Source organism: Homo sapiens, chromosome 20 (genome assembly GCF_000001405.40).
Source record: "Homo sapiens chromosome 20, GRCh38.p14 Primary Assembly".
In the NCBI taxonomy this organism is placed as follows: domain Eukaryota; kingdom Metazoa; phylum Chordata; class Mammalia; order Primates; family Hominidae; genus Homo; species Homo sapiens.
This window is the reverse complement of record NC_000020.11, coordinates 61,251,910-61,265,841: the sequence shown is the minus strand read 5'-3', so window position 1 is coordinate 61,265,841 and position 13,932 is coordinate 61,251,910. Positions and strand designations below refer to the sequence as shown.

Genomic DNA, 13,932 nt, shown 5'->3' with positions numbered 1-13,932 from the left:
GGCTGAGAACCAGTGGGCTGTGGCTAAGTGCTGGAGCATTCCTTCAGATAGACCTCCCTGACCCACAGCTCATGCCAGGTCACTCAATGGCTCCATGCCTCAGTTTCCTCAACAGTGAAGTGGAGATGCCACCCCGAACCACTGAGGTCTGTGTAAGATTGCGAGGTATGTGTAGGACTGAATGAAGGAACCATTGAGGTCCATGTAAGGCTGAAAGAAGGAACCACTAAGGTCCATGTAAGACTGAATGAAGGAGCCACTGAGGTCCGTGTAAGATTGAGTGAAGGAGCCACTGAGGTCCGTGTAAGATTGAATGAAGGAACCACTGAGATATGTGTAGGACTGAATGAAGGAGCCACTGAGGTCTGTGTAAGATTGAATGAAGGAACCACTGAAGTCCGTGTAGGACTGAATGAAGGAGCCAATGAGATATGTGTAAGATTGAATGAAGGAACCACTGAGATATGTGTAAGATTGAATGAAGGAGCCACTGAGATATGTGTAGGACTGAATGAAGGAGCCACTGGGGTATGTGTAAGATTGAATGAAGGAACCACTGAGGTACGTGTAGGACTGAATGAAGGAGCCACTGGGGTATGTGTAAGATTGAATGAAGGAGCCACTGAGATATGAGTAAGATTGAATGAAGGAGCCACTGAGGTATGTGTAAGATTGAATGAAGGAACCACTGAGTTATGTGTAGGACTGAATGAAGGAGCCACTGTATGTGTAAGATTGAATGAAGGAGCCACTGAGACATGTGTAAGATTGAATGAAGGAGCCACTGGGGTATGTGTAGGACTGAATGAAGGAGCCACTGGGGTATGTGTAGGACTGAATGAAGGAGCCACTGAGGTATGTGTAGGACTGAATGAAGGAGCCACTGGGGTATGTGTAGGACTGAATGAAGGAGCCACTGAGGTATGTGTAGGACTGAATGAAGGAGCCACTGGGGTATGTGTAGGACTGAATGAAGAAGCCACTGGGGTATGTGTAGGACTGAATGAAGGAGCCACTGGGGTATGTGTAGGACTGAATGAAGGAGCCACTGGGGTATGTCTAGGACTGAATGAAGGAGCCACTGGGGTATGTGTAGGACTGAATGAAGGAGCCACTGGGGTATGTGTAGGACTGAATGAAGGAGCCACTGAGATATGTGTAAGATTGAATGAAGGAGCCACTGAGGTATGTGTAAGATTGAATGAAGGAACCACTGAGATATGTGTAGGACTGAATGAAGGAGCCACTGTATGTGTAAGATTGAATGAAGGAACCACTGAGGTATGTATAAGATTGAATGAAGGAGCCACTGGGGTATGTGTAGGACCGAATGAAGGAGCCACTGAGGTATGTGTAGGACTGAATGAAGGAGCCACTGGGGTATGTGTAGGACTGAATGAAGGAGCCACTGGGGTATGTGTAGGACTGAATGAAGGAGCCACTGAGGTATGTGTAGGACTGAATGAAGGAGCCACTGAGATATGTGTAAGATTGAATGAAGGAGCCACTGAGATATGTGTAAGATTGAATGAAGGAACCACTGAGGTATGTGTAGGACTGAATGAAGGAACCACTGGGTTCTGCAGGGTTGAATGAAGGTCACCGCACAGTGTGGGACGCATAGCAAGTCCTTAGTGTGCGGAAGCCAGTGGGAAACTCCCACACACACCTGCTAGGATTGCTCTGTCGTCAGACACGCATGTGGTCAGCAGAATCACGACTCCCCAGAGATGTCCCCATCCTAATTCCGGAGGCTGTGAGCCTGGGATCTCACGTGGTAGTGGGGACTTGGCAGAGGTGACTGAATTAAGAGTCTTGCAACGGGAGATTATCCTGGGTTACTCAGGGAGGCCCAAGGTAATCACAGGGATTCTTACAAGTGGAAGAGAAGGATGTAGAGAGAGGTGGATGTGACCAGTGACCCTCAATGACCCTGGAGGACGGCACAGAGATGCTTCACGGCTGGCTCTGAAGACGGAGGAAGCGGCCAGGAGCCAAGGAGTGCAGGAGCCCTGAGGAGCTGGGAGGCACAAGGAGACAGATTCTCCCCAGGAGCCTCCAGAAGGAACCCACCCTGCAGACACCTTGATTTCAGCACAGGGACTGGAGCTGGACTTCTGACCTTCAGAACCACAAGATAATAACTTTGTGTTGTTTAAGCTGCTACATATGTGGGGATTTATACTGCAATAAGAAAATAATACAATTTGTAATCTAAGTAAATTCCTCCTGGAAAAGGCAGTGTGGGAGATAAAAACATACAGACAAAGTCCCCTGCCCATACCGAGTGATCTGGGGCATGCCTTCTAACTACCTTAGGCTGCAGGTCTCCTGACAGCGTTAAATGAGAAGACACATTGGCACATGGTAAGTCCCCCCAAACAACAGCTCCTCCCCTCCTTCCTGGCCCCTGATGTGGGGGTTGCCAGGAAAATGGCCTCGGGGAGCACATACTGGGTCAAAGATAATTAAATAGGGATTTTTGGTTGGTTTGTTCTCTTTTGTTTAAGAACTGAAAGCAGACACCAGCCAGAGACAATACCGGAGGCCACCAGGAGAGGGCAGCCCAGAGCCCGGGCAAAAAGGCACCAAAATTCTGAGCCTTTTGACGAAAAACCAAGGATTTTACCAGCCCAGCTTGCCAGACACCACAGTCCCACTCTGGGGACTGAAGGAGCCTGCAAATGCCATGAGGTTTTACAAGAACACACCGGGGAGAACTTTACCGCCCTTGACGGAAAGAAGCTTCATTCGGCTTATGGTATTTTTTATAGTGGAATTCACTTGGAGGAGAAATTACTTCTTCAAAAAGTCAGAATAATAGGCACACTTTTTGAAAAGATGAATGCTTGCTTGCTCTCTCTCTCTCTCTCTCTCAGTTCATGATTAGTCCTGGCATCTACTTAACCCAGCTTTCAAAGAAAAAAGAAAGGAAGGAAAGGAGGAAGGGAGGGAGGGAGAGAGCAAGGGAGAGAGGGTGGAAGGAAGGGAGGGAGGGAGGGGAAGGGGAGGGAAGGGGAGAGGGAAGAGAGGAAAGGAGGGAAGGAGGGAGGGAGGAGAGAGGGAAGGAGGAAGGAGGGTGGGAGGTAAGGAGGTAAGGAGGAAAAAGCCCTTTCCTTTATCCACCTCCATTTGCAACATAAGAGAAGTCACAAAATTTCCACATTTTGAAATTAGTGTCATGGAGCACACAATACAGGGATGCACACACCAAATACACTTCCTTTGAACTTGGTTATGAATTTCATTGTGATTTTTTAACACTGCAGGGTAGAATTAGAAAAATCATTATTTCTGAAACAAAGAAGCCACAGGTCTTGGAAGCTTACACCAACCCAGTCGCCACGCAGTCCCAGAGTGGAAGTGACCCTGCGCCCAGGAAGGCCACCCCTGGAGGCAAAAGCGTGCAAAGGGGCTTCGCCGCAAGGGGTTTTGGCAGAAAACGGGAACCCACGTGAACCTCGGAAAGCACCACATCTTCAGACTGTTTCAAGTTATACCAAGCACCTTGCTCTCTCTCAGCTTAGAGTACGAGATCTCTGCAGACACCCAGGACCCCGACATGGGCAGAAAGGCCACGGCAGCCTCAGGACCAGCTCTCACGGCATCAGCTCAAGAGAGGCCGTCAGGGAGCCCCGCCCCGGCTGGCCAGCTGCACAGTCGTGGCACTTTCTCTCAATCTGTAACCGGCCTCACTAAGGTTCCTGGTGCCCCATGTCACAACGTGAGTGTTGACAACAATGGATCCGTGCATAAACCCAGCTCAGATGGAACGTGCTCAGGGCTTCCAGGACCAGCCGGACTCTTCTCTCTGCTCCCTCTCTGCCCGGCTTCCCCAGCGCTGGCAGAGTCTAAAATCCGAGAGAGAGCTCGGCTCTGGGACTGCTCGCTGCATGCTCAGAATTGAAAGCTCCCACTGGCATCACAGAAGCCGCGGGCTCTTCTAATCCCAGGGCTGGTTTTGCAAACCCCCGGTGTCGAGAGTTTAGACCCACTTCAGTTGAGCCTTATACATGAGCAACTGCAACCAAGCACTTTCTGACACACTGAGGGCCTCTGTTTACTGCACATACCTGTGTGCCTGGTCACTGCTGGTCTTATGGCTGTGGCCCTGAACATCTGGGTCCGATCCTGTCTGCACGTGACAGTGGTGCTCTAAAACCATCTTCTTTAACATTAATTTGGAGATAGGAATGAGCTAAGTGCCTAGGACTGCACAAAGAGGGAAAACAGAGCAAATCTCCTACCCTTAGGCCAATCTCCAGAACTCACCGATCATCAGTTACTGATCCATAAAATGAGAACAATTTTACCTCCCTGGAAGGGCTTTTGTGAAAGTTAAATGAGATATCGTATACCAAGGACTGGACAGAACATAATGTTATTATATTATAATTCTGCAAAGCCTCATGCTCCCTCATCTGAAGACTCATTAAAACACATATTTCTCAAACGCAAAACCTGAATCTTTAAGTCACAGCGTCAGTGAGTTCACACATCCTCATTTCTGTAGCTGGTGCATGCACTGCCTTCTACAATGAAGGGGGTCTGCTTAGTGGCAGTGAGCATAGAGAAGCAGCGGTTAGGAATCTTGCAGGGTGGGAATCCTGATCCACTGACTTAGGAATCACTGACTTAGGAATCACTGACTAAGGAACCACTGACTTAGGAATCTGGGGCAGGTGTGGCCACCTCCTTGAGCCTAGATTCCTCCTGGGTAGCAGCAGGGCCACTGACCACAGCTCCCTCTTGCGATGGAAGGCAGAGCTGTGAGAAGCAGCTGCACACAGGGGCAAGTGGCTGTGCAGAGCCCGGGGCGGCAGTGTTCTGCCTCGCTTTATTTCTAACCAGGGCTACCAGGACCCTCTCTCAGAGTGGGATTTGGCCTGCAGATGATGCACCATGCAGCGCTTTCTGTGCTTTATTCCTGGGCCGCTCCTACCTTTTATCTGATAGCAACCACTTTCTAAAGACAGGATATATACTTCCCTTTCTGAACCTCTTAACCCTGGGACCAGACAAAACTATAAGAGGGAAAAGCTGCTGGAAACCTCAAACAATAACGGCCCCTTGAAAAGGCAAGGACCACCCCCAGAGATGGCCAAAGAGATCCCACGGTCTCCCTCATGGGCTCTGCGTGCCCATTTTTGGGGATCCCTGAAGTGACCACCCATGGAGGCAGTGGGGGTCTGGGTGCTCAGAAAGAAGTAGTCCTCTGACTTTGACAGCAAGAAAGTCTGGGCTTTGAGCTCACCCAAGCCACCAGTGGGGTCTGAGTCCCACCCAGCCTTCACATAATTCTGCTTCGCTACAGAGACCAAGGTTCCCTAGAACCAGTAGATATTGTGACCAGAGGCAAAACCCCCAATACATAACTCCTGACTTCCTGGAGAAGCATCACTATGAGATCCAGCAAAGAGTTTACATTCTCTGGTGGGGGTTCAGATAGTCCCGGCTTAATATATCTAAGGGTTCTTTCATCTCCTGGGCATAAGACAGCGTGGAGTAGTGACTGTTCATTTATTCAACAAACAGTTACCAAGTATTCATGACATGCTCTCTGCAATCCAGTGTGCTAGGTGCAGACATCAATTCACAAAAGGAGCAGAGGAGGGCCTTTAAAGCAAGAGCAAGTGGCCAAGGTCCAAGGAACACTGGAGGGTAGAGGGAGCCTGAAAACCTAGGCTCAGGACAGAGTTTGACTTTGCTAGTGTGCAGTTTTCCTAAGTCAGGGAATGCACGAGGCTGCATGTGACAACAAAACCAAGCGTGGTGTTTTGACCTTATTTTTCTCACCACTCAGGAGACAATGAGTCCAGGGCTCTGCCATTGTTTGAGGATGCCTTCTGGGACCCAATTTGTGTTCCACCATCCTCAAACTCACAAAATGGCTGCTTTCCCTCAGCCATCACATCTGAGTTCCAGGTAGGAGGAAGAAGTAAGAGCAAAGGGTGGAAGGCATGGCCAGCTCAGTTTGTTCCTTGTTATCAAGAATAAAAACAGCTTTCCCCAAAGCCTAACCTAATAGACTAACCTAATTAGATACCGGTGACCAGAAAGAAGCCACATTGCCACATTGGTGTAAATGAGTCTAGAGGTGTATTAAACAGGGCACATTGTCAGCCAATGGACTAGCACAGATGAGGTTTGTTGGCAAGGGAGAGAGAGAGAGAGAATCAATACTGGACAGGCAACTTCCAGTGTCTAATAATTCCAGGCATATGTGGTTGGCTTATCATTAGTGCCACTTATGGGAATATTCATAGCAGCTCCCTGTCTGCTGTGAGTTAACCAAAGCGACTCGGAAACACGAACAGTGTCAGTATTTTCCGGCTCATTCATTACTTTATTTGACTAATACTGACTTCACAGCCACCATGCATTAGGCCGGTGCTGGACATCGGCTATGCAGGGAGATGGGATGACATTCTTGCCTGTGTATCTAGCATGTGTCTGCCCTGGAAGAGTTGCCTATCTATGCAGAGGTGGTTCAAACCAAACTGCATGGGCAAAGAGCCTATCTTCAACCTACTTGTAAAGACAAGATAATAGTACTTCTGGCCATGCAGTGTGGCAGAAATGGCAGATTCTTAGATATGGATTCCAGACACTGCATCTGATCTCTCTTCAACCATGCCTCTGTCTGAATGCCTTTGTATGCAAATGAGTCATTCACTCATTCAGCAATTCACTGTCTGTCAACTCTGCTTCGGGTACAGCACTGGGCACTGGGGAAGGTCTACTCAGCATCCATCCCTCCTTCTTCCTTCCTAAAACAAAGCCCCAATTCTGTTCTGAGACGAGCAATTTGGACACCTACCATGTGATGGATTATAATGGATCTAAGACACACATGACAATGCAATTCTCTGCATTCCCAGTGCTCCACCCCCATCAGTTTAGCTAAGAGTGGCCTGTGACCTAGTCAATGAAAACTTCTGCAGGGATTCTGAGAAAGTGTTTGTCTTCCTGGTACAGGGAAGAAATGCAGATGGTGCTACTATCTGCACCTTCTTCTGCTCTGAACTCAGAAGCAACGACTGGAACCACAGCAGCCAGTTTGCAGTGACGAGGCACTAAATGACACACTAAAGATGGCAGAATGGAAGAAGAGGATTAGGCAGGCACATGACCGTGTCCCTTGTCTGCTGTTCCAGCATGTGACCACCTATGTCTGCACTCACGGTTATGTAAGAAAAATTTACTCCCATTTATTTAAGATTATGTGAATTGGGTTTTATTCTGTTGGCCAAGAACATCCTGAAATGATATAAATAGAAATAAGAATGACAGAGCTCTTACCCTCAGAAACCAGAGAGTTTAAGTAAGAGAGATGATTGGCCAGATAATGTAAGTTCTCCAGTAAGGAGGCAGAGGGTGGTACGAGGGTACACAAGATGGTCCTAAACTAACTGAGAAACGGGGAGAGGCAAGGCTTTGCTGAGGACGTCACGTTAAGTCATTAGAAACATGCTCCTCTTTCTTTTTTTTTTTTCTTTTTTTTTTTTTTTTGAGACGGAGTCTCGTTCTTTTGCCCAGGCTGGAGTGCAGTGGCGCGATCTCGACTCACTGCAAGCTCCGCCTCCTGGTTTCATGCCATTCTCCTGCCTCAGCCTCTCACGTAGCTGGGACTACAGGCTCCCGCCACCGCGCCCGGCTAATTTTTTTGTATTTTTAGTAGAGACGGGGTTTCACCATGTTAGCCAGGATGGTCTCCATCTCCTGACCTCGTGATCCACCCGCCTCGGCCTCCCAAAGTGCTGGGATTACAGGCGTGAGCCACCGCACCCAGCCAAGCTCCTCTTTCTATACTCTGTGGCCCATAGTGTACCCATGTTAATCTGAGGATGCCAGGCTCCGCCCCATCCCCAGTGAACAGCGTTTCCACTCACCTGTTCCCGCTTCGTTGCAGGATAGAGGGGAGATACGACCCGGGAGCCCTCGGTTCCCACTATGCCACCTAGGACTCTCCCGCCTCTACGAGTTATGAATCGGGTCTGGGTGTGCCTAGACTCCGCCCACCACGCGGGAGAGCAATGCAGGTCACCGTACCAGGCTGCAGCTTCCGGGCGGGCTGGCCATTAATTATTAACAAAGCAGAGAAAAAGATACCAGCTTAGCCATCACCCCAGACTAAACTACGGTTTAGAGAACACTGCATTTTAGCCTAAGGCAAACGGCTTCACCGTCCTATTTTAGATACGGCCATGCATCAGTGATCAGGGCCATAAGTGAATTATCCTAAAAACAAAAGTACAGCATAAGAGTATATGCAATTGCATTCAAATGCTCTCCAGAAAAAGCGCAGGCAGGGGACACAGGAGCGGCGTCTCGGAAGGCTCCGATCAGCAGCGAAGTCCCGCATTTCCATACTTCGCGGCTCCGCTTCTCGGAAGGTTCGTAATACATAGTATTTGCTACCCTATTGGGGAAAACTATTTCCAGCCTAATTAGCATGAAATTTTTAGAATGCAAATGCTTTTCATTTAGACATAAAACAAAATGCCACGACATTTCTTCCATCCATTTATCATAAACAAGTTAATTACCGTGTAACAAATCGCTCCTGCTGGAATCTGTATGTTTGGGGCTGCTGTGAGCTGACTCAGGCAAAGAGAAGGAGCCACGGAGCAGTCGCTGATAGCTCATGGCCTACTCAGAGGAACATGGCCACTCTGTGAAGCTTCACTCGTCAAATTAAGGTTAAGCTCTCTCCGCTGGAATAACTCAATTATAAGTAGTCATTATCTGTTTAACTTGATTCCTACCAGAATAACAGAAACACCACACTTCCTGTTTCCTCTTCACACAGGCCTCCTCACTGTGGTCTTGTAGTTTCAAAGTACTCTGCGTACAGAGAGAAATGTCACTGTGCCCTCGTTTCAGTGCCTGTCAGCCTTAGCTCTTGCCTCCATATGTGCAAAATTATTTGTAAGATATAAAACATCTCTTTCTTCCTGAGACTCTACACCTTCAGAAGAACGAGTGGAAGAAAACAGTGAGAAGGGGACCCACACAGGCGCAGGAGAAGCAATGCGACTACAGCCCCTAGAGGAGGGTCAGAGAGGACCCAGCATGCTCAGGTGCTTGGGAGATTCTCTGCAATGCTTCCCTGAACCAGCCCTGGGCTGGGCTGCACACGTAAGTCAACGGGCACTTGGAAAATGAGTCCACACAATGTCTGAGCTGGTCCAGATTCACCCAGGGGCATGTGACTCTTGGCCCCCCACGAGGCGAACACCACCTGGGCACAGGGGCCAGGCCGACATCCGGCCAGTGATCTAGGCTTTCCCACCACACTGATCAAGAGCACAGCACGGTTTGGCCTGGACCACTGGAGCAGATATCCCCACACAACACACCATGAAAGGGAAGAGATCCTTGTTTGAAATCTCACGCTGCGTTGTAGAAAGCATGAGAATTTGTCATTCTCTTCTGTAGTAAGCAGTATTTATTAATAAAAAGAGAGGCATTTTTCTGAAGTGCCTGAGTAAAATGGATACTCCAAGGTCTTATCATATTTGGCCACATAATCAGAGAACTTAAGGATGCCAGTTTCAGCACAGCAGGACATGCACACAGCAGACTGCAGTCAGTGCCCCACGAGTTATAAGAGACCGTCCAACGCACTGAGAGTGAAGGATCCCCTCAGGCCTTCTCTGGGAGTCCACTGAGATTCTCAGTAAACCAAACGATCCTGAAAATGGCCTACCCGTTCTAACTCCAAAGTGACATACACAGTGCAATTAACAGAGTAGCTCTTGAAAGCTCTTTACTATGTATGCCCTGTTAGATTGCACATCTATTCTGCTCCTAGGCCGACTGCCTAGAGATTTTTTATTTTTTTGATGATTAATGAGTCAGTAGTATCACAGTTTAGATAAAAAAACTAAGTCAGAAAACTTGGATTCGGTGCAAAATAAAAATCCTATCCACATAACCAGGAATCAACAAGGCACGTCAACAAGTTCTGTCTTGAAGGGCGAGGATCTGAAAAATCACTTCACTATAAGCGTGAGCGAGTTCACGCACATGCATGCACACACACACATACACAGGAACCGCTGTCAGTTCTGGAGGGAAAAGTTTACATTCCCTGGGACACAAAACCGGTAGGGCAGTCAACAGTCCTGAATGTGGAAATTTAGCTTCGATACTTTATCAAAAGTCCTCTTCCTCTATCGCTTTGAAATCAATTCAAAGGCTGCCACTTCCAGGAAACTGATGCAGAGAGGAAAGGCTCACAGCCAAGGTGCTCATGGCACAGAACTGATTTATGTCCCCTCCTATGCAAATATAAAGTCTAATTAGTTTGTCTTGAAAGGGAAACAGACCAATAAGCAGGATGATCTACTGTCATCTGAGTTTTGAAGCTGTCTCTGACTTTCCCATCACAAGTGTGGATATAATCCTGCAATTACGATAAAGCTAATTGGTAGTTCCCTCCTGCATGTGTGTTTTCGTGTTGTCAGTGGGGCAGTAATGAAAATGAATGCCACATTTGTGAACAGACCGTCTGTGGGCTTATTTACCGCATTTCCAACAACATCGTCTGCTTTATCATACATTTCAAAGCAGGGATAATTTAAGTATCCAGAACTTCATGCATAAAAATACTTGGTAAGAAGGTCTCTCTCTGCACACTATTTGGGTGATGTTACATCCGAATTACAGTTTGCTGCCCAGGAAATGATTCACTTCACTCAAAAATGACCGGGGTTCTGAATCATTCACCTGTTATGCAAAACGCCTTTCAGGTCAACCAATTTGCACCTCGTGGACTTCACCACCATCATTTCACAGAGAGCACAAAGATGAGGCAAGCCTTGCCTCTCCCATCTACATGTTTCCCCAAGGAAAAGCATGGCAGCAATTCACTCCCACCCCTCCACACCCCGCCTTACCTTGAAGTAGCTTTTCCCCTTCTAGAATATTTTGGGAGATTAATGCCGTGTAATCATCTTCAGAGAACCCAGCCTTGCAGGTCTCTCTAGTTGTAAGATCCTCATTATGGGCCTGAGAACACAAAGGGGAGAGTGTAAAACAATAAGTTCACAGAAATTTAATCCAACCAACATTCATCCAGGGCCTGCTGTGTAAAAGGTCTCTGGCTAAGAGAGAAAGGCTGGCAGGCCACCGTCTCCACCCAGACGCGATACCCCGTCTGCTCCTCTGCTCTCTGGGGACTTTAGGGAGCACTCTCCAGGCTACAGACCAGGAGCATCCTTCCCCAGCCCCACACACAGCAGGCAGGGAGTGAAGGACGGACTGTTGGGGAAGCCAGGCCGGCCAGGGCCTTATTGGCAGAGGAGACGCCTGAGAAATGACCAAAAGGCAGAGACAGAAGACTTCAGCCGCTGCTCCCGAAGCCACTAAGGGCAGGGAGGCCAAAGTGTGGGCGGCTCTGCTCAGACCATTCGCGCTTTAGGCCCACCGCTCTGCGCTCTTGGTAAGGCGGAGGAGGCAGCTTCTTGTCTCCTCTCCAGGTCACCGGGAGGGAGGAGAAAGAGGAGAGAAAGGAAGAAGATTCTCTAGGACTAGGTCCGGAGCCGGTCGAAGAAGGCAGCTCTGCGGGAGGCTGCCGGTGGCTGGGGTGAGGAGGCAGTGGGGGCGCTTCCACCTTCTAGTCTTCAGCCCGCATTTTCACCCTCGGAGCCCCCATCTCCAGCCCAGGCAGGGAGACGGCTCCCCTAACTGACCGGAAAGGGGGTCTCCTCCTGTCCTCCGGAGCTCGCTCGCCTTTCCTGCTCAGTGGGGAAGTCTAGAGCCCATGGCACAGGGCCAGGGAAGGATGGGGTGGACGACAGGGCCCTCCGACCAAGCTTCTGGGAGGGGGCGTGACAGGCAGGAGGAGGTGGTGGAGGGAGAGGCAGTGTGTGCAAGCGGGAAGCCAGCCCCGCTGAAGGAGCAGGAGCACAGCGGTGCTTGGCTCCCCGGCGAGCGCAGGAAGCCTCGGGTGCAGCCCGCACCGGGCAGTGGCGCCTCCCGCCCGCCGCCTCCTCCAGCTCCGCGCGCTGCCGTCGCCCGCCCATGCTTCGACTCCGGAGGCCGCCCCCAGCCCGGAGCTCCAGGCTTCCCGACGCCGGCACCGCGGAGGGCGCCCCTCTACCCCCAGCACCGAGGGAGGAGAGCGGGACGCAGGGTCATTCCTTACGAAAAGCTCTAAACCGCGGCTTTCTTCATCGGCCACGAAGCTCCAAATCGCACCCGCAGCCCGGTGGGAGGCTCAACTCGCCCAGGAAAGTTTCCGCCCGCCCGAAGCGTGTGCCCAGCGCGTCCCCCAGCGCCCCGCGGCCTCGGAGCGGGCCTCCCGCCGCTGGCACTTGTTTATTTCCGAGGTTACAACAGCGCTGCCCGGGAGAAGGCAGCGAGGCCGATCGGCCACGAGAGGGGGTTCCTGCAACTCCCGCCGCCCCTCCGCCTCCGCCCAGGGGCGCCCCCGGAGCCGCCGCGCTCTCTGCCCCCGCGGGCCGCGCACCTCGCCAGGCGCAGAGCAAAGCTGGCAATCCGGCCCGCGGGGCTCTGCAGAGGCAGCGGGAGACCCGCTCGCCCTCCCGGGGCGCCCTCCCGCGCCGCGCCCGCCCGGCGTCCGGCTTCCCGGCCCAAGCCCGGCCCAGCTCCCAGCCCCCGGGGCCCCGCCGGACACGCAGGCTCCAGCCCCGCCGAGGGCTCGGGGGTGAGAGTGCCCCGCAGTCCTACCCCGCCGCCCACCCGCAGCGCGGGTCCTGCCGGCACCCACAGAACTGAGCGGCGCCGCTAGACGGACCCCCAGGCCTTGGGCAGGAGAGGTCGGGCAGGCGCCCCGCACTCGCGGATCCCTGGCCCGCAGCCGCCGGGCGCCCCACGCCTTCAGCCACGGCCGGGGCTGGGCTCGGCAACTCCCGCGGCGCGCGGCTCCCGGGCGATGGAGGGCGCGCCGGCTCCGCCAGTGGAAGCCTGCCCCATGCAGGCAAGCCGAGCTCCGGGTAGCGGCTACGGGCTTTGGGCGTTCGAGGGAGGCTCGGCGGGTCCGGTGCAGGCGGAGCTCCCCGGGTCCTCCACCGAGCCCCACTCCCACCCTGCTCCGCCGCTCCCCGCTGCCCAGGCGGCTTCCCGCTCCTGCCGACCGCAGGCAGCTTCGCCGAGCGCGGGCGCCGGGCTGGATGCAGCGGGGAGCGCGGCGGGGGAGCCCGGGAGAGCCCCGCCGGGTGTGTGAGCGCCCCGCGGGATCCGGGGACGACCTCCCGCTGCCCGGGGCTTCCGAACGGCGGGGGCGGGAGGCGGCAACTTACCCGGAGCGCGCCGGAGAGCGAGAGCAGCAGAAGGAGCACGCCGGCGCCCGCGGTCATCTTCCCCGCCGCCCGCCCGGTGCCCGGCACCGGGAGCCCGCTCCCTGCCGCCGCCGCCGCCGCCGCCGCCGAGACCACCGCCGCCGCTCCGATCGCCGCCGCCGCCGCCGCTCCCCCGCGCCTGCCCGGAGCCTCCAGCCCCGCTGCGCCCGCCGCGCTCGCCGCCCCGGCTCCGGGAGCCAGGCCAAGTCCGGCCGGCGGCGCGTTCCCTCGGGCCGGTGCGTCCGCCGGCCTCGCAGCCGCCCGCGCCTCTGTTCCGCGCGCTCGGAGCTGCAGGTGAAGCCGCGGCCGCCCCGCCGAGGCCCCGCCCCGCCGCCCGGCCCCTGCGCTCGCTCTGCCGACGCGGGCCTTAAAGGCGCAGAGCCCGCGCCCGCGCCCCCCGCGCCGCACCAGCCCAGCCTCTGCCCTCCTGGACGTCTGGAGCCGCCCGGTTGCGGCCGAAGAGGCCAAGGACGCTCGTTTTCCAGGGGAAAAAGGCGCGGGTGTGGAGACTGAAGACAGCGCTGGGGTTTCCGCCCCCACACCCGGGGCACCCTTTCTGGATGGGGCGGTCCCGCCGCGGTCTTAGTCCGACTTCCCGCCCGGGCCCGCGGTGGGAGTGTGC

The 13,932-nt window shown here is 53.1% G+C and overlaps 1 protein-coding gene across 3 annotated transcripts in view, besides 2 other annotated features; it reads right to left on the bottom strand.

Moving 5' to 3' along the window:
* The window catches only part of CDH4 (cadherin 4), a 688,357-nt gene extending 674,776 nt beyond the window's left edge, over positions 1–13,581 (bottom strand). Inside the window, exons 1-2 of one of the 3 annotated variants that reach the window (NM_001794.5) lie at positions 13,272–13,581; positions 10,905–11,016 (exon numbers count right to left, since the gene is read on the bottom strand). In NM_001794.5, coding sequence (NP_001785.2) covers positions 10,905–11,016; positions 13,272–13,328 — 169 coding nt within the window. In that variant the 5' untranslated portion in view covers positions 13,329–13,581. Of the gene's footprint in view, positions 1–10,904; positions 11,017–11,699; positions 11,763–12,154; positions 12,245–13,271 lie in introns of those variants that run through there. The other 2 variants (XM_047439812.1, XM_047439813.1) reach the window with 2 other exon arrangements.
* Positions 3,087–3,598: an enhancer, noted in NCBI's record as "H3K4me1 hESC enhancer chr20:59837300-59837811 (GRCh37/hg19 assembly coordinates)". NCBI's record gives its function as "activates a minimal SCP1, AML or CMV promoter by ChIP-STARR-seq in primed H9 embryonic stem cells {active_cell/tissue: H9 hESC(primed)}" and the evidence as "EXISTENCE:reporter gene assay evidence [ECO:0000049][PMID:30033119]".
* Positions 10,785–11,477: an enhancer, noted in NCBI's record as "H3K4me1 hESC enhancer chr20:59829421-59830113 (GRCh37/hg19 assembly coordinates)". NCBI's record gives its function as "activates a minimal SCP1, AML or CMV promoter by ChIP-STARR-seq in naive H9 embryonic stem cells {active_cell/tissue: H9 hESC(naive)}" and the evidence as "EXISTENCE:reporter gene assay evidence [ECO:0000049][PMID:30033119]".
* Positions 13,582–13,932: the final 351 nt, after the last annotated feature.